The following is a 23,693-nucleotide window of genomic DNA, read 5'->3' as shown; positions in this document are numbered from 1 at the left end:
TCTCTCTTGCATTTGCAGAGTCCTTACCTTGTTCCTTACTGTCAAACAATTCATAAACATTTGTTCAATTGAAAGAAAGTGAACCTTAGAGCTGGGAGGAGCCCATTGTCCATGACTCAGGACAAAGCTGTGCAGGCATCGTTGCAGCAAGTGACTCAGTGGCATTTTCTGTATAATGAATGACTGCACACAGCACGCAGGATGCTCTCCACAATTTGTGATTGTGCACCCTTCCCAATAAGCAATCCTTTTGGGTATTTGCTACACACATACATTTATATGTAATTCTATTAATAAATTTTACTCATGCCCATTAAGCTAAAATGTCATGTACATTTAAAAACATTTTGTCTCAAAAAAAGAAAAAAAACTAATATTTTGTCAATTTTACACAATGAAGTGTAAAAATAAAAAGATAAACTTTTTTAAAGGTAAAAAATAAAAACTATTTTGGATCGTATAAAGCACACACACATTAATGCACTTTAAAGGATAAAATAATGATATACGCAGAGTTCTAAACTCTTCTTTTCACATCTCAATGAGCATCTCTGTGCCCCACACTGGAGGTCGCTGCAGAGGTGCTGTGTGCCAAAGTCACTGTACACAGGTCCATACAGCGGCTGCATCCTGGAGAGCCAGTCTCCCCCTGCCAATATTCTAAGTTTCCATCAAAGTCCAGCTCAGATGCTAAAAGCAGATTATTAATATATCTGGAAGTCATGTTAGAGACCACATATTCTAATCTCTATAGGACACAAAAAAAGGAAAGAAAGAAAAGGAAGGAGAGAGAGAGAGAGAGAGAGATAAATACCCATTTTACAGCATCCTTTATAAATGGCAAATAAAAAACAGCTAGAAGTAGGTCTAGACTATTGGTCCTTAAATAGCAGACCCCTCCCAGGGACATTTAGCAATGTTTAGAGACGCTTTGTGTTGTCATGAGTGGAGGGGTGCTACTTCATCTAGTGAGCAGAGGCCAGGGATGCTGGCAAACATCTTATAATGCACAGGAAAGCAACCACAACAAAGAATTAGAAAAAAAATTAGATTAGAAGGCCCTTGTCCAGAAGAAGGGATAGAAGAATCTGACTTGGTCCTGCCCCAGCTCTGCTGTTTAGGAGCTGTGTCCCTGAACAAATCTCTAAGCCTGGCTCCTCTGTAAAAGTTACGGATCCATTCATCTGTTGATTCATTCATTCATTCACTTAACAGATATTTCCCAGGAAATGGAGATAAACAGCAAAGAACAAGACCTGGTCTAACCCCAGAGAGTAGTGAAAATTAAATAAGAAAATGAGTATAAAAGCCCTTTATAATTTTGAGGTGCACAACAGACCCAAGGTAGAAATACTGATTTGTAAATAACACGAGGTGATGCATGTAGGTGCTCACTTTCTAGTTATTTATTGTCTTTCTTCTATTCTGAGAAGTACAGACTTCTCTTTTCCATCTTTTAACGTCTCTGAACTCTGTCTGTGTACATTAAAATGAAGTGCTTCACAATCACCGTCAGCCAGGCGGCAGTCACGCCCCCAGCAGTCACTGTAGTCAGTCACTGATTACCTGAGTGCGAACTTGGTCGGTGGCACTAATTCCTGGTTACACTAAAACTGAGACAGAATAGGGAGTTAGGGTAACCAAGGGTTAAGGCATGGGCTCAGCAACATGGACTTCCACTCACCAAGGCTGACCTGGCTACAGGTCAAGTGCCCAATTTACCAGCAGCAGTGACCAACACTGAGCCCTTGATATGGCACCAGTCCTTGGTTCTAGGCAAGATTAGGCAGCATAGAGGCCACAACCTCACTCCTGTGATAACAAGACAACAAGTTTCTACTTCAGCCTCTAATTGGCTGCGGGCAGTCTCCACTTCCGCCTCTGATTGGTCATGGGCCAAGTCTCCACTTCAGCCTCTGATTGGTCGTGGGCCAATTATTCATAAGGTGTAACCCTCCACAGGGCACCAAGGGGTGTTACCAAAATTCTTCTAGCTTAGTTTAAACCCTAACAAACATTGTAATCGGGGCTCTTGAGCCTCTTGCCCAAGCCTGCTTGTGCTTTATAGAGTGTACTTTCACTTAAATAAATCTGTGCTTGTATTGCTTATGGCGTTGCTTCATTCTTTTGTCACTTTGTGCATTTTGTGTTGCTCTGTTTGTGCACTTTGTTCAATTCTTTGTTCAACGTGCCAAAAACCTGGAAAACTCATAGTCAAGACTTTCCATCTGGTGGAAACCTCTCGGTGTTCAGTCAAGAAGCCATTGGAGGATCACTTAGGAAAGGATCAAGAGCCCTGATGTTGTCTGAAGCTTTCCGTGGATATCTTACGGTAGGAGCAAGAATGCACTGAAATTGGTTTAGATGCTTTCAGGTGGCTCACACTGTTAAAGAATGTCTTTCCCCAGCTGAAGCCCAAACCCACCTGGTCTCACCCCTTGGAGACACACAGGCAGACCTAACTCTCAGCTAAGCCAGAGGTTCTCAACCCAGACTGCACATTAAAATAAATTAGCAAGTTTTACATCACATGTTCTCACTTATTTGTGGGATCTAAAAATCAAAACGATTGAACTCATGGACATAGAGAGTAGAAGGATGGTTACCACAGGCTGGAAAGGGTACTAGGGACCTGAGAGGGAGGTGGGGTTGGTTAATTGGCACAAAAAAGAATAGTTACAAGGAATGAATAAGACCTACTATTTGATAGCACAACAGGTGACTATAGTCAATAACTTAATTGTACATTTAAAAATAACTAAAAGAGTGTAATTGAATTGTTTGTAACACACAGGATAAATGCTTGAGGGAACAGATACCCCATTCTCCATAATGTGATTATTTCACATTGCATGCCTGTATCAAAACATCTCATGGCTAGGTGCGGTGGCTCACGTCTGTAATCCCAGCACTTTGGGAGGTGGGTGGATTACCTGAGGTCAGGAGTTCGAGACCAGCCTGACCAACATGGAGAAATCTCATCTCTACTAAAACTACAAAATTAGCCAGGCGTGGTGGTGCATGCCTATAATCCCAGCTACTCGGGAGGCTGAGGCAGAAGAATCGCTTGAACCCAGGAGGCGGAGGTTGTGTTGAGCGGAGATAGTGCCATTGCACTCCACCCTGGGCAACAAGAGCAAAACCCCATCTCAAAAAAAAAAAAAATAAAATAAAAATCTCATGTACCGCATAATATATACACCTACTACGTACCCACAAAAATTAAAAATTAAAAATGTTTTTAAAATTTTTAATTAAATTTAAATCAAATAAATTAGTGAGTTTTTAAAAATACGAATACCTGGGTTCCACTTCAAATAAAATAAGAAGCTCTGGGGTGGGCCCAAGCATCTGTATTTTTTTAATGTCCTACCCTAGAAATGCTGATTGAATGGTCCAGAGTGCAGCCTGGGCCGCGGGCTTTTCAGTATTCTTCAGGAGATTCTAATGTGCAGCCAGAGAGACTTGCTGAGGAAAGCCTCCTCTGACCACCCTAAGGAACCACTGCTTCCTCCTCCACCTCCTAACACAGTGGGTCTTCGCTGTGGCTGCACATGGGAACCATCTAAAGAACACTGACAAAGCCCAGTGCCCAGGCTGTACCCCAGACCATTCAATCAGAATTTCTGGGCTCAGACCAGGAATCAGTAATTGTTACAGTTCCCAGAGTGAATGCAACGCATAGCCAAGGCTGGAACCACTGCCCTAAATCCTGCAGTACTTGATGGAAAATGCTTGCCTTCTTGAAGAGGGTCAGTCTGCATTGACTGAAACTGCATCTATTTAAAACACATTTACAGCCCATGTTCTACCTCTCAGTATACATATTTGTGAACCGGCCTGTTTACCTGTATCTATAAGACTTGGAAACCCTACATCCCTTTATAATACCCTACACATCACAGGCACTCAATGAGGAATGAACAGATGAACAAATACATGGAAGGACATACATTTATTTTGTCAGGAACTATCTAATCACATGGGTGCCACAACTAATGTGCCAGTTTCAAAGACAAGGTAGAGATTCTGCAGCTTAAAAATCATTACAAAATAATAGGTTACTGATCAGGTAGAGGTCCTGACCTGGAAAGCCAAAGGTAGAAACAAAAATAGGATGTTTTACAAAGGTGGAAATGTTTAATTCCAAGGTAAGGCCACAGCTCAGAGCTGTCAGTTTTTTGTGTTTTAGTACATTCAAGAGGGAAACTGTGGTACCAAAAATTCAGTATAGGTCCAACAGCTTTATTACATAGACATAACTTTAAAAAGTAACGCACTGTCCTTGTAGACAATGAAGGATATAAGTAGAGGAAGCTGAGTTCTTCAGAATTTGTTTATCAACAAAAGGCTATTGTTTGTCACTTTCAAATACTAATTATTCTCCAGAGCTGTTTTTCTTCAGCCCTAGACTCCCACCACAAATTCAATAATCTTAATGTAATCTTTATTTTAATATAGTGCCCAGAGAGTCCCACATCTGATTCAAAAATAGCTTGAGGCATGACCAAGGTTGTTAATTTCTTTTAAAGCTACATTTGATGAGAGCGGGACCAGGGAAAACATGCACGTGCCTGGCGTGTTACTGCGTGTCAAGGCCCATGGCCTGCTCCATGGCTCGAGTGTCCTCTGTGGGTGGTTTGGGCAGATCCAACATGGAGGACGAGGCATCCCTGGGATTCCCAGTAACCAACATCCAGTGGTTCCTTGGTTTCTCAACTCTATGTGAATCCAGGTATGTGTGAGCTACAACCTCAGCCTCCTTTCCAAAATAGGTGCTGGAGCAAGAGAGAATCAGTTGTGGTTTGAAATTGAATAACAACTCTCAATAAGCTGTTATTAATAATTTAATCTCGAAAGCACCTTAAGAAGCGGATTGCTAGATAAAGCCCTAGGGAATCTCTAAAATGGGACATGTTTGCAGGGAGGTTACACCTTATTTGGGCAAAGATTAGGCCAGTAGGATCCCATTAGAACCAAAGTCCTCTTGTAGGGGTAGGATTTGTATAAAAGAAGGGGCTCTAATAGGATTTTTCACACCATTGAAGTTCTATGTGGCGGTATTTCATCAGCAAAGGACATTTTTTGTATGTGCAGCCATACACTATCAATTGAGCTTCTTTGCTTATATTCATGGCCCCCAGCCCCAATCACAGCATTTTGTTGTACCCTGAAATACAATACCTTAAGAAAAGATGCCGGTGGGCTGCCAGTCCCCGATTTGTGTGACAGTGATTGATGAGAATTTTAGCATTTGCCTTAACAGATAAAGAAAATGTGTTATTAGCATTCTAAACATTTTTTTTTTTGCTTTTAGGGAAAAGCTTACCTAAAAGCAAAAATTTGGGATTATACTATACATTTATTTCAATTTAGTAGAAAAAAATTATATATATTCACAGTCATGTGCCACTTCACAACATTTCATTTGGCAAAGGACCACCTATGCGACCGTAAGACCCTATTTTGACTGTACCTTTTCTGTGTTTAGATGCACAAATACTTACCACTGTGTTACAGTTACCTACAGTATTCAGTATAGTAACATCCTTACAGGTTTGTACACCTAGGAACACGAGGCTATCCCGTGTAGCCTTGGTGTGTAGTAGGCTATGCCATCTGGGTTTGTGTAAGTACATTTATGATGTATAAATCAAAGAAAATTATTGAGGCGAGTCTCAATTATTTTAAGAGGTTTATTTGCCAAGGTCAAAGATGCGTCCACCAAAAAGAACACAGGCCAACAGGAAAAATCGGTGGTCCATGCTTTTTCCCGAAGAGGGTCCGGGGACCTCAATATTTAAAGTGAAAAGAGCGGGTACTGGGGGGGAGAGGAAGAAAGAAAGAACAACAACAACCAAAAAAGGAGGGTAAATAAAAGAGGCAAGCAGTTGCGTTCTTTTGAGTTTTCAGTCAGTGTTCACCAAATACACATTTTACATGTGAGAGGGCGGTAGAGGAATAGTTACTTATGCATTCGTCTTGTGCTCGGTGAATCTGCATTTTTACGTAAGATGAAATAAACACAGGGCAGAGGGAGCATTCATATATGCCTTTGTCTCAGGTGAGAGGAAGGATGACTTTTTAGTTCTGTCCTTTGTCCCACACTGTGAAGATAAGCTACCACTTTACATTGTCAGGGTAACATTCCACATAACTGTTTTAAGGTAAAGATCTTCCCACAAGGAATTTCCTTGTGGGCAAATTGTGAGGGATGTATGTAGCTTTTTAAATATATATATATATATATATATATATATATATATATATATATATATATATATTTGTAGCTATCCTATTTAAGAGCAAAATGGGAGGCAGGTTTGCATGACCCCATTCCCAGCCTGACTTTCCCTTTGACATAGTGAGTTTAGGTCCCAAGATTCATTTTCCTTTCACAATGTCCACACAATGACAAAATCATTGTCAGGGTGACCACGATTGCCTAATGATGCATTTCTCAGAACTTATCCCCATCATTGAGTGACACATGACTGTATATATATTTATACACACACAGACACAGAAAAATTTAGATGCCAAACCATAATGGATGGATGAAATACATTATTGTAGATATCTGTATGATGAAATCATCACTCAAAGTTATATTGGAGAAGATCTTTGCCACACAAGATATGGTCAATGATGTTATTTAATGGAAAAAAAGAAGTATCTTCATGATGTCCTATCTTGTAAAAAGAAATGATAAGCAATGGCTTTCTCTGGAAATGGAACTACTGGTAATTTTCATATTATTTTTTTGCTTTCCTGACTTTTCATAAGTGAACATATGTTTATAATCAGGAAAAATATATATTATTTCAAAATCCTGACTCATGTAAGTTAAAAGCTGTGTAAGAAAGAAAAGGCAGCCCTGCCATCCAGGGGTTGGCCTGGCACTGACAAGTAGGCTTTAGTGTTCTCCTGGGAACAGAATCAACTTCACAGAATGTCCACATCAGACAAGGCTACTCTGTGATCATGAGGGGTCAAAACAAAAACAAGAGCACTCTATAATCATATCTGAACACACACAAAACACAAACATTGGCTAAGCCACTAAATACCAAACACTGGCCTCTCCCAGCTAATATGAGCGACTGACTGCTGCTTCTTTACTAATGACAGCTTTGTCCTCACTCTAGTCTGGCCCTCCCTAGAGATAAGATTTATTGAGATAACCAATGATAGAGTTATCCCCCACTTCCTGACAGCATCCAGTCCAGAGCAAAGCCTCACTTCTCGGGATTCTCTCCAACACCACCCAACCAAAGCCCAAATTCTATAAGCATCCTAACACCCTCTTTCATGCTTCCCCATGGTGTGTGTTCTCCCTCACTGCAATAAGTAATCTACCCAACCTGTTAAACCACAGTTGTTCCTGGTGGTCTCTCTAGCCAGAGGTCATTGACATGTGCAAGGTAGCTCAGACAGGTTTGGGGTTTCCCATTTACAGATGTGTAACCATGTCTCAGTGAGGCCTGGGGAGACTTTCCTGAAGCCATAAGGTGAATCAGTAATGGAGAAAAGAACTCCTGGTGCCTGGAACACTGACTGCTCCCTTAACCTCTTAAAAAAACCAGCAACAATAACAATATAACAACAACAGTCATGACAACAAGAAACACTTGTGGGTGGCTTCTGTGAGCCAGGCACTTTTCGAATTAGCACTCTAAATGTACTAACCATTTAGTCTTCACAAAACCTCATGAGGTAGGTACTATTAACACCCCAAATTTAGATAGGGAAACTGAGGCACTGGCAGTTTAAATTGTGGAACTAGAAGGCAATTCTCAGAAGAGCGAAGCTTAGCAAAGGACATCTAAAGAGAATAATTTGTAAAGCCTGTTTCATTGTAGATAATATATATGTCCTCCATGCTCAGAGAAAGAACCTTGTGAAGTCAGGGTCCACCTGGCAGAGGTGAGGGACAGGCATGCTGCATCGGGTGGACTCAGTGGCCTGCAACTGCGGCCACTTCCTGGCCAGTAGCAAGCGAACCCTGGCCATGCTTGCTACTAATTCCATAGTCAACGCAGTGGCTACCAACACATCCACATGTCTGCTGGATGCCTCGTGAGCAGGAAAGCCTCTGGTCCTTGAAATAGGGAGGCCTACTCTGTGCCCACAAGACCTCCCACCTTCCCGTCAGGACCATGCCTCAGGTTCCAGTCCCATGGGTCCCAGCATCCGGAGAAAGTGTCGCACAGTGATAATGAGAATGATGCCGTCCTGCAGGACCACTGCATTGACTATGTGGCTACCCTGCTGTCTCCTTGGCTTCTCCAAGACTCCCTAAGCTCTTTTTCTTTCTTTTTTTTTTTTTTTGAGACACGGTCTCACTGTTGATCAGGCTGGAGTCCAATGGCACAATCACAGCTCACAGCAGCCTCGACCTCCCAGGCTCAGGTGATCCTCCCACCTCAGCCTCTCTAGTAGCTGGGACTACAGGTGCTCACCACCACACCTGGCTAATATTTATTTATTTATTCATTTATTCATTTATTTATTTATTTTGAGACAGAGTCTCACTCTGTCACCCAGGCTGGAGTGCGATGGTACAGTCTTGGCTCACTGCAACCTCTGTCTCCTGGGTACAAAAGATTCTCATGCCTCAGCCACCTGAGTAGCTTGGATTACAGGTGTGTGCCACCACACCCGGCTAATTTTTGTATTTTTTGTAGAGACAGGGGTTTTGCCATGTTGCCCAGGCTGGTCTTGAACTCCTGGCCTCAAAAGATCCGCCCGCCTTAGCCTCCCAAAGTGCTGGGATTGCAGGCGTGAGCCACCGCACCTGGGCTCAAAGTCCTTAAAAAATAGTACTTAGCGGAGGCCTTAGCGAAAACAGTGCGAAGGAAGCAGTGTCACAACGCTCATGATCGCACATCAGTGGTTCTTATCCTGATGACAGGGGCAGGGCCTGAGCTTTTTAGAAAGTTCCTGAGGCGATTCTAACGTGCAGCCAGAGGTGAGAAACTCTAGTGCAGGATGCTGCCATGGGGTAGATTAGTACCTCCCAAACTTGTGTTACAAACGGAAAAGAGACAGAAAGTCATAAGGCATTTGAGCTATAAGTCTGTGTGTTATAAATGGAAAAAAAGAGACAGAAAAGAAAGAGAAAGTCATAAGGCATTTGAGCTATAAGTCTGTGTGTTATAAATGGAAAAAAAAAGACAGAAAAGAGAGAGAAAGTCATAAGGCATTTGAGCTATAAGTCTGTGTGTTATAGACAGGAATAAATTGCATCCATTTCATAGCCTAGACACCCATGTCTTCCCGATGCTGCACTCACCGGGACGGGGAAGCCTTCATATTCCAGGCGTAACTGGGGGTCAGGGAAGGCAGCCTGCCAGCAGTTCACATGGGAGACCTCATCTGTTAGGTACACTTCCTGGAGCCAAGACCTCTTAGACGATTTCAGGAGGGTCCTGTGGTCACTTGACAAATACAACTGAAAATGACAGCAAGCAGATGCACTAAGTCAGAGCTCTGTGAAAAGCTGGAGAATAAAGAAGCAATTGACTGGCTGGACGGCAAGCACATTCAAAGCAGTTCTCAAAAACTCTGTTCTTACTGATTGTATGAGAAAGCACAATTTTCCTCTACCTTAGATATGCCATCTGGCATGCTGAGACCAAGACACACACACACACCTACACACACTCACATCTCCAACTACTTTTCCTTCCTCTGAATACCAAACTCAATCTTCCTCTCTCCTTCCTACTCCCTGTCCCCTGTTCCCCTTCAGGATATAGGAACTGGACCAATGGGTTTGTTTTGTTTTGTTTTGTTTTGTTTTGAGACAGGGTCTCATTCTGTTGCCCAGGCTGGAGCGCAGTGGCAATCATGGTTCACTGCAGCCTCCAACTCCTGGGCTCAAGTGATCCTCCCACCTCAGCCTCCCGAGTAGCTGGGACTGCAGGTGCACACTGCCATGCCCAGCTGATTTTTTTTTATTTGTTGTAGAGCTAGGATCCCACTGTTTCCCAAGCTGGTCTTGAACTCCTGGTCTCAAGCAATCCTCCCACCTCAGCCTCCCAAAGTGCTGGGTTTATAGGTGTGAACGACCATGCCCAGCCATGGACTAATATTTTATTTAATATAAATGATGTTGCATTAAACTCATCACGTGAAATGAATTATTCTTCAAATCAATATCCTCACAGCTGATATTCATTTGTGAGCCTTCAAGGTGACCCACACCCCTCTGGAATTGATGTCCATGCTGGAAATTTATGTCGGCTATCTGGCTGCCTGTAACCTTGCCAGGAAACAACCCCCATCCTGCTGAAAAGTCCAAAATGTTAGTCCTTTGCTAGTTCTTCACTGGTTCAGCCCCGCCCTGAATGTGGAGGTAGTTTCTGCATATTTTGACAGGTTTCCAATAAGCACCTTTCCCATGCAAGGCTGTGCTGTGAGGCACTATGGGGAAGGCAGAGATGAGTTACTATCCTCATGAGGTTCTCCACCTAGCAGAAGAGGTGATTGAGCACAAAAATGGGAAGCACCTGCATGCAGCTTTCTGGTTAGGGAGGTCCAGCAGATTTGCAATGAGCTGTGGGAGGCAGAGGTAGGAGCACGGTGCTTTCCTGGGGGATCAAAAGAGGCTCTGAGGAGGAGGCTGGATAGCCAGAGGGGGTGAACACAGAGAGGGTGAGGATGTATTACAGAAGGCCTCAAATGCCACAGCAAACAGGCAGAACTTCATTCAAAGGGCAATGGGGAGCCACTGCTGACTCCAGTGAGGATGGGGGTGACCAGACCTGTGCTTGTAAAAGATCAACCTGAAAAACAAATAATAATAATAATAAATTTTAAAAATTAAAATGAAAATTAAAAAAAAAAGATCAACCTGGCAGCACCCTGTCTAGTATGGTCTGAAGTCAGGATAGACTAAAAGGGCAAAGCAATGGGGCCTGGGTTGCTGAGGGGCTGCACTGGGGCAAGAGAAACAGGCCAAAGTGCAGTATGAAGGGAGAAAAGAGCCTAGGAACAGCGGAAGAGACCTGGTAATCAGCTGGACGTGGGTGGGGAAGGGAGATGGGCCCAAGATAGATTCGCCATTGGCCCTGGATGATGGTGCCTTTCAGAGCAACAAGAAAACCAGAATTTAAAAAGGCAAATAAGGCCAGGTACAGTGGCTCATGCCTGTAATCCCAGCACTTTGGGAGACTCAGGCAGGAGGATCACTTGAGGTCAGGAGTTCGAGAGAGTCTGGCCAACATGGTGAAACCCTGTCTCTACTAAAAATACAAAACTTAGCCAGGTGTGGTGGCAGGTGCCTGTAATCCCAGCTACGCAGGAAGCTGAGGCATGAGAATCGCTTGAACCCGGGAGGCAGAGGCTGCAGTGAGCCGAGATCACACCACTGCCCTCCAGCCTAGGCAACAGAGTGAGACACCAACTTAAAAAAAAAAAAAAGGCAAATACTATCTGTCTCAAACCACAAACTGCCTTGTTCACCTAAAGTAAAACCATAATAAAATCAGGAACTAACCCAGTAGGCCACTATTTCACCAACGCTTCTATGAATGCCCCAGAAGGGTTTGCTAATTCAAAGACAAGAAACCAAAATTCGAGGTATAAGAATTGAGGAAGAGAGAAAATTGTCATCATTTGAAGATTAAATGACTGTCTTCCCAGAAAACATAAAAAAATCAACTGAAAAAACTATAGAATTAATAAGAGTAAGTGATCTCATCAAAGGTGAATATAAAAATCAATAGCCTTCTTATATTTTTATAAGAGAAATTATCCTTTATTCTATCAAATGTTCTATCCTTATTCTATCAAAAGGACCTCTCTACAATAGCATCTGAAAATACAAGATACCAAGGAAAAACCCTTAACAAAATCATTGTCAAGTCCATGTAAAGAAAACCACAAAATCTTACTGGGTGATAGAAAATTTTGCTGACAGAATAAATGGAGAGACATCTCAGAAGAATAAATATGGCAAAGTTACTAAATATGTGAATTTACTTAATTTTACAATGCCAATCAAAATATAATACCAAGTAATCTTTTCCCCACAGGGGCAGAAGGACTTGAAAAAAATAACCATTATATTTAACTGAGAAATTAATTCCTAACATAATTCAGACAAAGAAGTGTAATGAGAGGCAACTAGCCCTATGAGCTGTCAAGGTCACAGGGCTATGAGCCCTATCATAAAGCTCTAATAATTAAGACACTATAGTCCTAGAATAAAAATAGAGAACTGGGCTGGGTGCAGTGGCTCACGCCTGTAATCCCAGCACTTTGGGAGGTGGAGGCAGGAGGATCACTTGAACTCAGGAGTTCAAGACCAGCCTGGCCAACATGGCGAAACTCCGTCTCTACAAAAATAAATAAATAAATAAATAATAAATAAATTTTAAAAACTTAGCCAGGTATAATGGTGTGCACCTGTGGTCCCAGCTACTCAGGAGGCTGAGGCAGGAAAATTGCTTGAGCCTGGGAGGTGGAAGCTGCAGTGAACCATGTTCGTGACACTGTACTCCAGCCTAAGTGACAGAGTGAGACCCTGTCTCAAAAAAAAAAGGAAAAAAAAAGAAATAGACAACTAGGGTTTAATGGATCAAAATAGAAAGCTCAGAAGCACAGGGTAGTATATACAGTAATTTAATATATGCTAAGGGAAATGTCATGCACCTGTAGAGAAAGGAATAATCATTCAAGGGATAATAGATATAACTGACCAGTCATCTGGGACAAAATGAGATGTTCACATAAAACCCTTTATCAAAATAAATCCCAAGTTGATTAAATAATAAATGTAAGCAAAAGTCAAATTGCAAACATCTAGAAGCTAATTCTAGTTTTTCTTTTTATCAGATCTCTGAAGCAGTCTTAAAAACATAAAAGCAATGGAAGGAATTACATTTTACTCAAAAATATAATATTAGAACAACTACAATTTAAAAGCCAAGCAGCAAATGGAAATATTAGCAACACATATGACAAAATTTAGTAATCAATGGTATATAAACCCAAATCAACACAAAGGCAAAAAACGGATGATTTGCAGGAGAGAGGAGAGGGAGGGAGAAAGAAAAAAGAAGCGAGAGAGAAAGGAAGAGATAAGGGAAAGAGAACAAACTTAAAATATAGGAGAAATTACAAGTAGTACAACATTTACATATCATTTTTTCTTTTCATTTTGTTTGCTTGTCAAATTAGCAAAGTTTTAAATTATGATATTTAATACAATTAATGAAGCAGTATATGATCATTCTTACTGTTGCTGAGAGTGCAAATTGGTACACCCCATTACAAAAAGAACTCTTTATATGTATCAATACTTTTAAATGTGTTCATATTCTTTGACTTAGTAATTCATTGCCCAAAAATCTATCCTAAAGGTAGAATTCCTAATTTGAAGTTTGAGAGGGGAAGATTTAAGCATTTATACACAAATGCACACTGGAACTTTACATATAAAAGAGAAATATTGGACCAAACCCAACTGCCCAAAAGTAGAAGAAAGACTAGGTAAATTATGATACCGCCACACAATTATATCTTATGCTCTCATTAAATGATTTCGTCATTTTAAAAAGCTTTAAAAATGCTATTTTAGAAAGAATAACCTATCTGTATATTTATCTAAGTTTTAAAAAAATACACAGGAAAGTAAAAATAAACCAAAATGTTAATGGTGCTAATCTCTGGTTAAGAAATGGTAATTTACTCCCTTTTTTCAGTAAGTCAATATTTATCAGGCTGCAACTTACCATCTGTGGGGTGTCAAAGTTTAATTGGTAGCATCGTTTCTTCTTCTTTTTATTTTTTATTTTTATTTTTATTTTTTGACACAGGGTCTCTTTCTGTCACCCAGGCTGGAGTACAGTGGTGCAAACTCTACAGTTTCTACCTTCCGGCTTAAGCAATCCTCCCACCTCAGCCTCATGAGTATGTGGGACTACAGGAGCGCGTCACCATACCTGGCCAATTTTTTTAAAATTTTTAGTTGAGATGAGGTCTCGCTATGTTGCCAAAGCTGGTCTACAACTCCTGGCCTCAAGTGATCCTCTTGCCTTGGTCTCCCAAAGTGCTGAGATTACAGGCATGAGCCGCTGCACCCAGCAGGCAGCATTGTGTTTTCTTAGTGGTATCAAAAATAATAATAATAATAACGCTACATCATATAGTAAATGGATTTTTAATTCAATAAAAAATGTGATATAGTACTAGCTCTGCTACTTGCTAACTGAGTGACTTGAGTCAGAAATCACTTAACCTCTTGGTGCCTCAGTTTTTCCATCAGTAAATTAAAGGTAAAATAGTCCCTACCTCAAAGGCAAGTTTGGGGGATTAGGAGAGTTGAAATATGTGAAGCATTTACAACACTGCCTGGCATGTAGTAAGGTAGATTAATACTCACCATCTTATGGATGAGAAACAGGCTCAAAAAGCATTAAATAACTTACCCAAATTCCCATCCCATAGGTACGCACCTGAAATTCAAACCCAAATCTATCTGGTTCTATTATACTTCCTAATCCCCAAGGCTCCCTGATTTATGCAAATTTAAGCATCTCATATTGTCCCTACTCCCATACTAAGCAAAAGTCTGATCATCAAAAGTTTAAATAAAAAAGTTGTCAGATAATATGCCTTGCTAGCATTGGCAACATTTGACAGGTATCAGATGGTTATTAATGAATTCAATCATTTAATTTACAGGTGGAAGTGGTATAAACTTTTGCTTTTTGCCAGCTGCATTGTGAAATGGTTTTCCTCCCTTACTGTTTAGGTTTTAAGGGTGTAGTTTTTGTAATTTGGGAAGTTAAAAGGAAAGACTGGCTTGGCCCAAAACTGCCTGTGAAAAGCTGCAAGCTGACACCATAGTGAAGTCAGAGGTGGAGCCCATGACTCTGGAGTTCTCTGTCCACTTCAGTAGATAGTTATGATCCCATTTTGGGCAACAGAAATGACTGATCCAAAGTAGATATGCAAAGTGATAACTCACCATTTTGTTGTCAAATCCTCCTGTTATCCCCAGGCAAAAGTCCTGCCCATATCTAAGGACTTGACCAGTGGCATCTCTGTGTACACTGTCAGTGGACAATAAGTATAATGTAAATGTAAACTCTCTGTATTAGAATCATTCTATGACTCTATTTTTTATGCATGCAATTTTGTTTATAATCAGTTTTTTGATAATTTATATTCACATACTGTAACTGAATTAGGTAATTAAATAAAAGGTGTTTTCTTTTGGTCTTAAAATCCAGCTAGCACCCTACTCCCTGCCCTGCACCATAGCTAGCACACAAAGCATCCCCACTTTGTGAGCCTCTGGTTAGAGTAAACTAAGCACATCTTGCTAATGTATACTAAGGAATTCTGGTCAAGTGCATTGACATGTTCAGAGAGAACCAAGGTAACACATTTGTAGACATTTAATACGGTTCCCTCTTAATCCTTCAGGATAACAGAGGTTGTGATCAATTTTTACTTGTCTTAACATATGTATTCAAAGGAAATCTAAATTAGAACTTGAAGAACTGTCTATATATTCTTTTTTTTCCCCCAGGCTGGAGTTCAGTGGTGCAATCTTGGCTCACTGCAACCTCCACCTCCCAGGTTCAAGTGATTCTCATGCTTCAGTGACACAAGTAGCTGGAATTACAGGAGCCTGCCACCACGCCCAGCTAATTTTTTGTATTTTTTGTAGAGATGGGGTTTCGACATGTTGGCCAGGCTGGTCTCGAACTCCAGACCTCAGGTGATCTGCCTGCCTTGACTTCCCAAAGTATTGGGATTACAGGCATGAGCCACTGTACCTTGCCTGGGTCCATATATTCTTGCAATGCTTACATTGCTGTCATACGAATTAGTAATAGTTTTTAATTGTGATCATGTATCTATTTCTTCTCTAAGGATTTAATTGTTCATTTTCAAAATCTCTTCAAATACATTTTTAATGGACAGTTAATTTTAAAAGAGAAAATCCCATCTAGTGCCACATTGTATTAAACTACACGTTTTTATTGTAAAAAAAAAAATAGCCGTATTAAGAACAATGAAAACACTCAAATGAGCTCAAAAAGTTCCAAAATGTTATAGGGAAAACCTACTTTGCTTCCAGGCAGAATATGGATTTAATTCCCTGGATCCTATACTCATGATTTAAGCATTTTGAATTGAACACAATTATCCTGCTGTCTAAGGTAAAAAGGGATTGTAAAGTTCCTTTGACAATAATTCTCAAGGTAAGCAAAGCAAGATGAAAATCACGAAAAATGTTCACAAAACCTTTCCCTCCACTCAGTGGCTCCAATACCCAGGAATCTTTAAGCTACAAGTGAAACATATTTATGATGAAAATGAACTGAAAATTAAAGTCTCTTTACCTCAAAATGATAAAAGTGTTTCTGCCAATTGGGGTCTTGGCTTGAACTGCGCTCAGGCCACAGGGTACCTCTAATTCGTCTTTCAGATGGGACTGAATTTCATCTGGAGTCATACACAGGCTCAGGTCCCCACGCAGAAACACATCAGCTTCTGTGTCAGGATCATCAGGATTCACAAGCATCACTTTGTCACCGTAATGAATATAGCCATCTTCAGTTACGGAAAGTTGCATCTACAATTTTGATAGTAGTTTATTACATAAACCATGCAATTCCTCAACAGTTACTGCCAAGGCAATTTTCTTCCTTCTCGGACTAGTACCCATTTCATTCAGGATTTCACTTGGATTCCCTCGAACCCTTAGTTCCTTCTTCCTTTCCCTTCCCCTTTGCCAAGGCAAAGCTCCCAATAATTCCAAATGAAGTCGAATAAAGCTGGTTAAAATCACATGGATTTACTCATTATCCTAGAAATTCAACATTCATTGAAAAATTTGTCGATTACCAACTAAGGGGCATTTTACTTATTTACATATTAACTCATTTATTTCTTTATTTGTAAAATGCAGGTAAACATGATTTAGGGCAGACTGTTTATGTTTCTAAAATCTTAGAAGAATTTAAAACATTGCAAATTGTTTTTAAAAACTGTTATTTTCCAAATGGTAACTCAGTTATGAAATTTTTTTCTTGCTTAACATATACTCACACCAAGTTCAACAGAATTTTGAAAACAATGTCTGAATTTAAAGTTACCGGTCTCAATAAACATACGTGTGCATGTGTCTTTATAGCAGCATGTTTTATAATCCTTTGGGTATATACCCAGTAATGGGATGTCTGGGTCAAATGGTATTTCTAGTTCTAGATCCCTGAGGAATTGCCACACTGACTTCCACAATGGTTGAACTAGTTTACAGTCCCACCAACTGCGGCACTATTCACAATAGCAAAGACTTGGAACCAACCTAAATGTCCAACAACGATAGACTGGATTAAGAAAATGTGGCACATATACACCATGGAATACTATGCAGCCATAAAAAATGATGAGTTCATGTCCTTTGTAGGGACATGGATGAAGCTGGAAACCATCATTCTGAGCAAACTATCGCAGGGACAGAAAACCAAACACCGCATATTCTCACTCATAGGTGGGAATTGAACAATGGAGAACACATGGACACAGGAAGGGGAACATCGCACACTGGGGCCTGTTGTGGGGTGGGGGGAGGGGAGAGGGATAGCATTAGGAGATATACCTAATGTTAAATGACGAGTTAATGGGTGCAGCACACCAACATAGCATATGTATACATATGTAACAAACCTGCACGTTGTGCACATGTACCCTAAAACTTAAAGTGTAATAAAAAAAAAAAAAGTTACCGGTCTCAAGAGATTCTGTTTTAGTCTTCTACTTCTCTGTATGAGAAGTTTCCCCTTGTCTCTCTTCTCTAAGAAGTCTTTCATGAGCTCCTAAACAGAAAATCAACAAAAGTAGCCCTGAATAATATAGATGTTAGTATTAATAACTTTTAGGTCAGAAGCTCTTCCAAGTTGAAAAAGCAAAATTTGAGTACAAAAAAAGAGATGTGAGCATAATTGGAATGATGGAACGTTTTTAGCACTACTTTAATATTTTTACTACATTATAGAATGTTTAGAAAAATGAGAAAGGCAAAACAAAGAAAAAGAAACATCACCAGTAATTACTCCAGCCAGATACCATCCTAAATGACATTTGGAGGCCATGTCTCCCCTGCTGGGGTTTCCCTTGACCGTATGATGACTGACACTAGAAAGTTCACCCCTCCCCAATCTGACCCGTATACGAATGGCTCAAAGCCTTGTTAAGACCACCCTTGGGAGAATACGAGGCAGTGAGTGAGTACAACGTCAATAAAAGGAATACTCAGGGTCATTTAAGAGGGCAAGCGTGGCAGGGTTGGAGTGGGGAGGGATATTATTTCTACCTAGAACCTGTGTCCTCACCTGGCCCGCAGCCTGAGACTGTAAGACTCTAAGGAATACGGGGGACTTAGTGGGGCTCTAGACTAAGCGGGAGACACAGGCCAGGGGCTTGAGAGTCAAGGCATCTGACTTTGGGAGGCCAAGGGACCCAGAGAAAGAAAAGTCAGGGTGCTCGGAGTAGAGGTCAGTGAGACCTGGGTTTGCAGTTCGGCAGGTGAGATTCCTTGGGAGTTTAGAGAAGTGGGGGATTTTAGAGGTATTCGCTGTATGCTGGGAGAGAGAGGAGGCTTGAGGCGCTCAAAGTAGGAGACTGAACTTAGAGCAGGGTCTGGGAGTTCCTGAGCTGCGGGTCTGCGCCTGGCCACACCCTGCGTACCTCCTCCAGGTAGACATCCTCATTCCAGTTGCCTATCCGGACTCCCGGACCATACACGTTCTGCGCCATCGCTCCCTGCTGTTCAGCAAGTGGGCCTCCCTCCGACACCATGCGTTAGCGTGGCGCGTCGCCATGACGACCCGGCCCCAGGCGATTGGTCAAGGTCTGGGACCCTGCTGGCCAATAAGCGACAGCGCGCACCCTCGCCCTGGGGCGGGAGATGGGGCGTCTGGGTCAGCGGCTGTCTGTGGCCCTCCAGCCCGCCCCACTTCCACCTCTTAGATTTCCTTAACTGCAGGGTGGGCGAGAGGGAAAACCCTGGCTGACAAAGTGCTTCCGAGAGAGAAATTTAAAGCTTTCTTTCTATTAGAATCTAACCGAAAAGTGCTATCGAGTACCCCTTGCTTGTCGAGGCAACAAAGAGGAGCTTTTAAATGGAAGCACGGCTTGCTTGCAGCCTATTTTTTGTAATCAGCAGCAGCAGCAGCAGCAGCAGCAGCAGCAATTTCGCCCTAATCATAAAACAATACCTGCTCAATGTACACATTTGGAAACCAAAATCGCATAGAAAGAAGAAAGGAAAATTAATAATTTCAGGGCCTTAAAAGTAAGAAATATACCATGTTAGTATATTTCTGTTTATAGGTTTCTGAGGTTGTCCATATTTTTGCGGACTTGACAGCATCCTCCCTCCCTCCCTCCCTTGCTCCCTCCTTCCCTGGGTCTCAAAGTTAAAGGACGAACCTGTGATTTGCAGGAACTCTTAAGAAAACCAGACTCTGCTGTAGCCAGCATTAATAAAACAAAATATTATTTTCTGGGGAGGGGAGGGATACCAGTTACTGTAGGACTACCGGAGGCTTGATGCAGATTGAATGCATTCAGTAATTTACCTCTATTTAGTGTCTAGTAAGACATGACTGAAATGGAAGACAGGAGCCTCCGCTCCCTTCAGCAAACCCAGTCTAAAAGAAAAGATAGTTCATGAAAACGAATTACTTAAGGAAGACTGTGGAAAAATGCAATTAAAGATGTGCTGATGGGCTGGCGTGGTGGCTCAAGCCTATAATCCAGCACTTTGGGAAGCCGAGGCAGGAGGATCACTTGAGCCCAGGAGTTCTAGACCAGCCTGGGCAACATAGTGAGACCCCATCTCCAATTTAAAAAAAAATACATATATATATATATATATATATATATATATATATATATATATATATATGCTGATGAAGGGCCATGGAGTTGAAGGATCCTTTCTGTCTTGAGGAACTGTGAGAATGGGAATTGGATGGCCTTTGAGTGATGGGAGAGGGGCTGCTTTGGAGCTGAACTGGGAAGGATTTGAACTGGCAGGCTGAAGTGTAGAATAAAAATAGGAACATTCCCACATTCTGATGAATCCACCAGCTCTGTCAATATATCACCACATTCGAGGATACTTCTGAAGGACACATAGGACAAAGCAGTTAGATCAGATAGTATACCACTAACTGCATTTGATAAATTCAGAAACTGAGACTCAAAGAAGCTAGCAGTCTAAATTCAAACTGCTAAAAGTTGCTCAAAGAAAGGACTCAGTCCAAACTTTCCGACTCCAAAGTCATGTTTGTTTGTTTTTCCTTTTAAGTATTTTTCATATTCCTCATAAAATCAAGAATAAAACAAAGCAGCTCTAGTCTCTACATTTTTAACAAGGTTCTAATGATTGGGTCATTCAGTAAGTCCTTACACTGATACAGCTTTGCTCCCACCTACTTCCTTAGTGCTATTTTTGACAAGTATATTACATTTCTATATATAATAGACCCAATAATACAATTATACATAGTGTTTTATACAATTGCTTTAAATCACTCAGGAGAAGAAATATCTTTATTGGTGCTCTATGGTATTTTTCTATGAACACAAATTACTGCTTTGTGTTGTTTTCAACCTGAATAACTTCCTTCCATATTTCTTATAAATCAGGTCTGCTAGCAACACATTCTCTTGGTTTTTGCTTACCTTAATAAGATGCTTTTTCTGGATACATGATTCTTTGTTGATAGCGTTTTTTTCTTTCTTTCAATATTTTAAATATGCCATCCTACTACCTCTGGACTCCCTTATTTCTTTTTCTTCCAAGACAGAGTCTCACTCTATCAACCTGGCTGGAGTACAGCAGCACAATCTCGGCTCACTGCAACCTCTGCTTCCCAGGTTCAAGCAATTCTCATGCCTCAGCCTCCTGAGTACCTGGGGCTAAAGGCATGTGCCACCATGCCTGGGTAATTTTTGTATTTTTAGTAGAGATGGGGTTTTACCAGGTTGGCCAGGCTGGTCTTGAACTCCTGACCTCAAGTGATCGGCCCTCCTCAGCCTTCCAAAGTGCTGGGATTACAGGCATAAGCCACCCTGCCCAGCCATGGCCTCCATTATTTCTGATGAGAAATCAGCTATTAATCTTATTTTGCTTCCCTTACACATACTCTTGCTGCTTTCAAGATTTTTTTTGTCTTTGTCTTTAATATTTTAACTAGATATATTTGGATATTGACCTCTTTTCTTTTATCCTGCTTGAGCTGCCTGAATATGTAAATTAATGCTCTTTTCATCAAATTTGGGGAATTTTCAGGCCTTATTGTTTGGAATATTTTTTCTGATCCTTTGTCTGTCTTCTGTCTTTATGAAACTCCCATCATGTGTATATTGATGCACTTACTGATATCCTGCATTCCTCCAAGATGCTATTTGTTTTTCTTCATTTTTTTCTCTCTGTTCTTCAGATTGCATAATTTCTATTGATTTGTCTTCAAGTTTGCAAATTTTTGTTTTGCTGGCTCAAACTTACTGCTGTATTCCGCTAGTGAGTTTTTTATTTTGGTTATGGTACTTTTCAACTACAGAATTTACATTCGGTTATATTTTATAATTTCTCTCTATTGATATTTTATATTTCATAATGAAACACTATCATCATACCTTCCTTTAATTCTTTAATCATGGTATCCCTTAGTTTTTTGAACATATTTATAATGGCTGCTTTGAAGTCTTTGTCTGCTAAGTCCAACATCTGGGCTCTGTCAAAGGCAGTTTCTGTTGACTTTTTTGTTTGTTTGTTTTTTATCTTCTTTCTGTCTGTGGATCACAGTTTTCTGTTTCTTTGCAGGTCTCATGATTTTTTGTTGAAAACTAGACATTTTAGATACAGGAATACATCATTTTATTGCAATTCACTTTATTGCACTTTGCAGATATTGATTCTTTTTTTTTTTTTTTTTTTACAAATTGAAGGTTTTTGGCAAGCCTGCATCAGGCAAGTGTGTTGGAGCCATTTTTCCAACAGCATACGCTCACTTCACGTCTCTGTGTCACATTTTGGTAATGCTCAAGATATTTCAAACTTCCTTATTATTATATCTATTATGGTGATCTGTGATCAGTGATTTTTGATGTTGCCATTGTAGTTGTTTGGGGCACCATGAACCATGGGCATATAAGATAGCAAATCCAATCAATAAATGTTAGGTGTTCTGACTGCTCCACCTACCAGCCATGTCCCCATCTCTCTCCCTCTCCTCAGGCCTTCCCAGTCCCTGAGACACAACAATATATAAATTAGGACAATTAATAACCCTAAAATGGCCACTAAGTGTTCAAGTGTTCAAGTGAAAGGAAGAGCCAAATGTCTGTCTCTGTTTTGTTTTTGTTTTTGTTTTTGAGATGGAGTCTCGCTCTGTTGCCCAGGCTGGAGTGCAGTGGCACGATCTTGGCTCACTACAACCTCCACCTCCCAGGTTCAAGCGATTCTCCTGCCTCAGCCTCCCAAGTAGCTGAGACTACAGGCGCATGCCACCACACCCAGCTAATTTTTTGTATTTTTAGTAGAGAGGGAGTTTCACCATGTTAGCCAGGATGGTCTCACTCTCCTGACCTTGTGATCCACCTGCCTCGGCCTCCCAAAGTGCTGGGATTACAGGCGTGAGCCAAGTCTGTCTCTTAAATAAAAAGCTAGATATGATTAAACTGAGTGAGGAAAACATGTCAAAAGCCAAGATAGGCTGAAAGCTGGGCCTCTTGCATAAAGCAGTTAGCTAAGTTGTGAATGCAAAGGAGAAGTTCTTGAAGGAAATTAAAAGTGCTATTCCAATGAAAACACAAATGATAAGAAAGTAAAACAGCCTGTTTCTGATATGAAAAAAGTTTTACTGGTCTAGATAAAAGGTCAGACGAGCCACCACATTCCCTTGAGCCAAAGCCTAATCCAGAACAAGGCTCTAATTCTTTTCAAGTCTATAAAGACTGAGAGAAGGTTTAAGGAAAAAGCCATCTTCATAACATAAAACTGCAAAGTGAAGCAGTAAGTTCTGATGTAAAGGCTGCACCAAGTTATCCAGAGGATCTGGCTAAGATCATTGATGTAGGTGGCTGCACTAAACAACAGATTTTCAATATAGGCAAAAAAAAAAAAAAAGCCTTACATTAGAAGATGTCATCTAGGACTTTCACAGAGAAAAAAGTTAATGCCTGATTTTCAATGTAGGCAAAAAAAGCCTTACATTAGAAGATGTCATCTAGGACTTTCACAGAGAAAAAAGTTAATGCCTGATTTTCAATGTAGGCAAAAAAGACTTACATTAGAAGATGTCATCTAGGACTTTCATAGAGGAAAAAGTTAATGCTTGCCTTCAAAGCTTCAGAGAACAGGATGAGTATCTTGTTAGTGGCTAATGCACCCCATGCTCATTTACTATTCTGAAAATCCTAGGTGATATGGTTTGGCTGTGTCACCACCCAAATCTCATCTCAAATTGTAGCTCCCATAATTCCCACATGTTGTGGGAGGGACCCAGTGGCAGATATTTGAATCATGGGGGTGGTTTTCCCCATACTGTTCTCGTGGTAGTGAATAAGTCTCATGAGATCTGATGGTTTTTTAAGAGGTTTCCCCTTTAATTTAGCTCTTTTTTCTCTTGTCTGCCACCATGTGAGATGTG

General features: G+C 40.8%; 1 protein-coding gene across 4 annotated transcripts in view; it reads right to left on the bottom strand.

The window, feature by feature from the left end:
• Nucleotides 1-3,936: 3,936 nt before the first annotated feature.
• The window catches only part of CFAP161 (cilia and flagella associated protein 161), a 49,772-nt gene continuing 30,015 nt past the window's right edge, over nucleotides 3,937-23,693 (bottom strand). For 2 of the 4 annotated variants that reach the window (XM_006720408.3, XM_017021963.2), the window contains exons 3-8: nucleotides 17,757-17,846; nucleotides 16,368-16,600; nucleotides 14,981-15,065; nucleotides 9,296-9,454; nucleotides 5,185-5,258; nucleotides 3,937-4,778 (exon numbers count right to left, since the gene is read on the bottom strand). In XM_006720408.3, the coding sequence (XP_006720471.1) occupies nucleotides 4,583-4,778; nucleotides 5,185-5,258; nucleotides 9,296-9,454; nucleotides 14,981-15,065; nucleotides 16,368-16,600; nucleotides 17,757-17,840 (831 nt within the window). In that variant the 5' untranslated portion in view covers nucleotides 17,841-17,846 and the 3' untranslated portion in view covers nucleotides 3,937-4,582. Of the gene's footprint in view, nucleotides 4,779-5,184; nucleotides 5,259-5,682; nucleotides 5,822-9,295; nucleotides 9,455-14,980; nucleotides 15,066-16,367; nucleotides 16,601-17,756; nucleotides 17,847-18,717; nucleotides 18,847-23,693 lie in introns of those variants that run through there. The other 2 variants (NM_173528.4, NM_001353365.2) reach the window with 2 other exon arrangements.

This window comes from Homo sapiens, chromosome 15 (assembly GCF_000001405.40).
Source record: "Homo sapiens chromosome 15, GRCh38.p14 Primary Assembly".
NCBI classification, from domain to species: domain Eukaryota; kingdom Metazoa; phylum Chordata; class Mammalia; order Primates; family Hominidae; genus Homo; species Homo sapiens.
The sequence above is the reverse complement of the archived record's forward strand: the minus strand, read 5'-3'. Positions and strand labels throughout refer to the sequence as shown.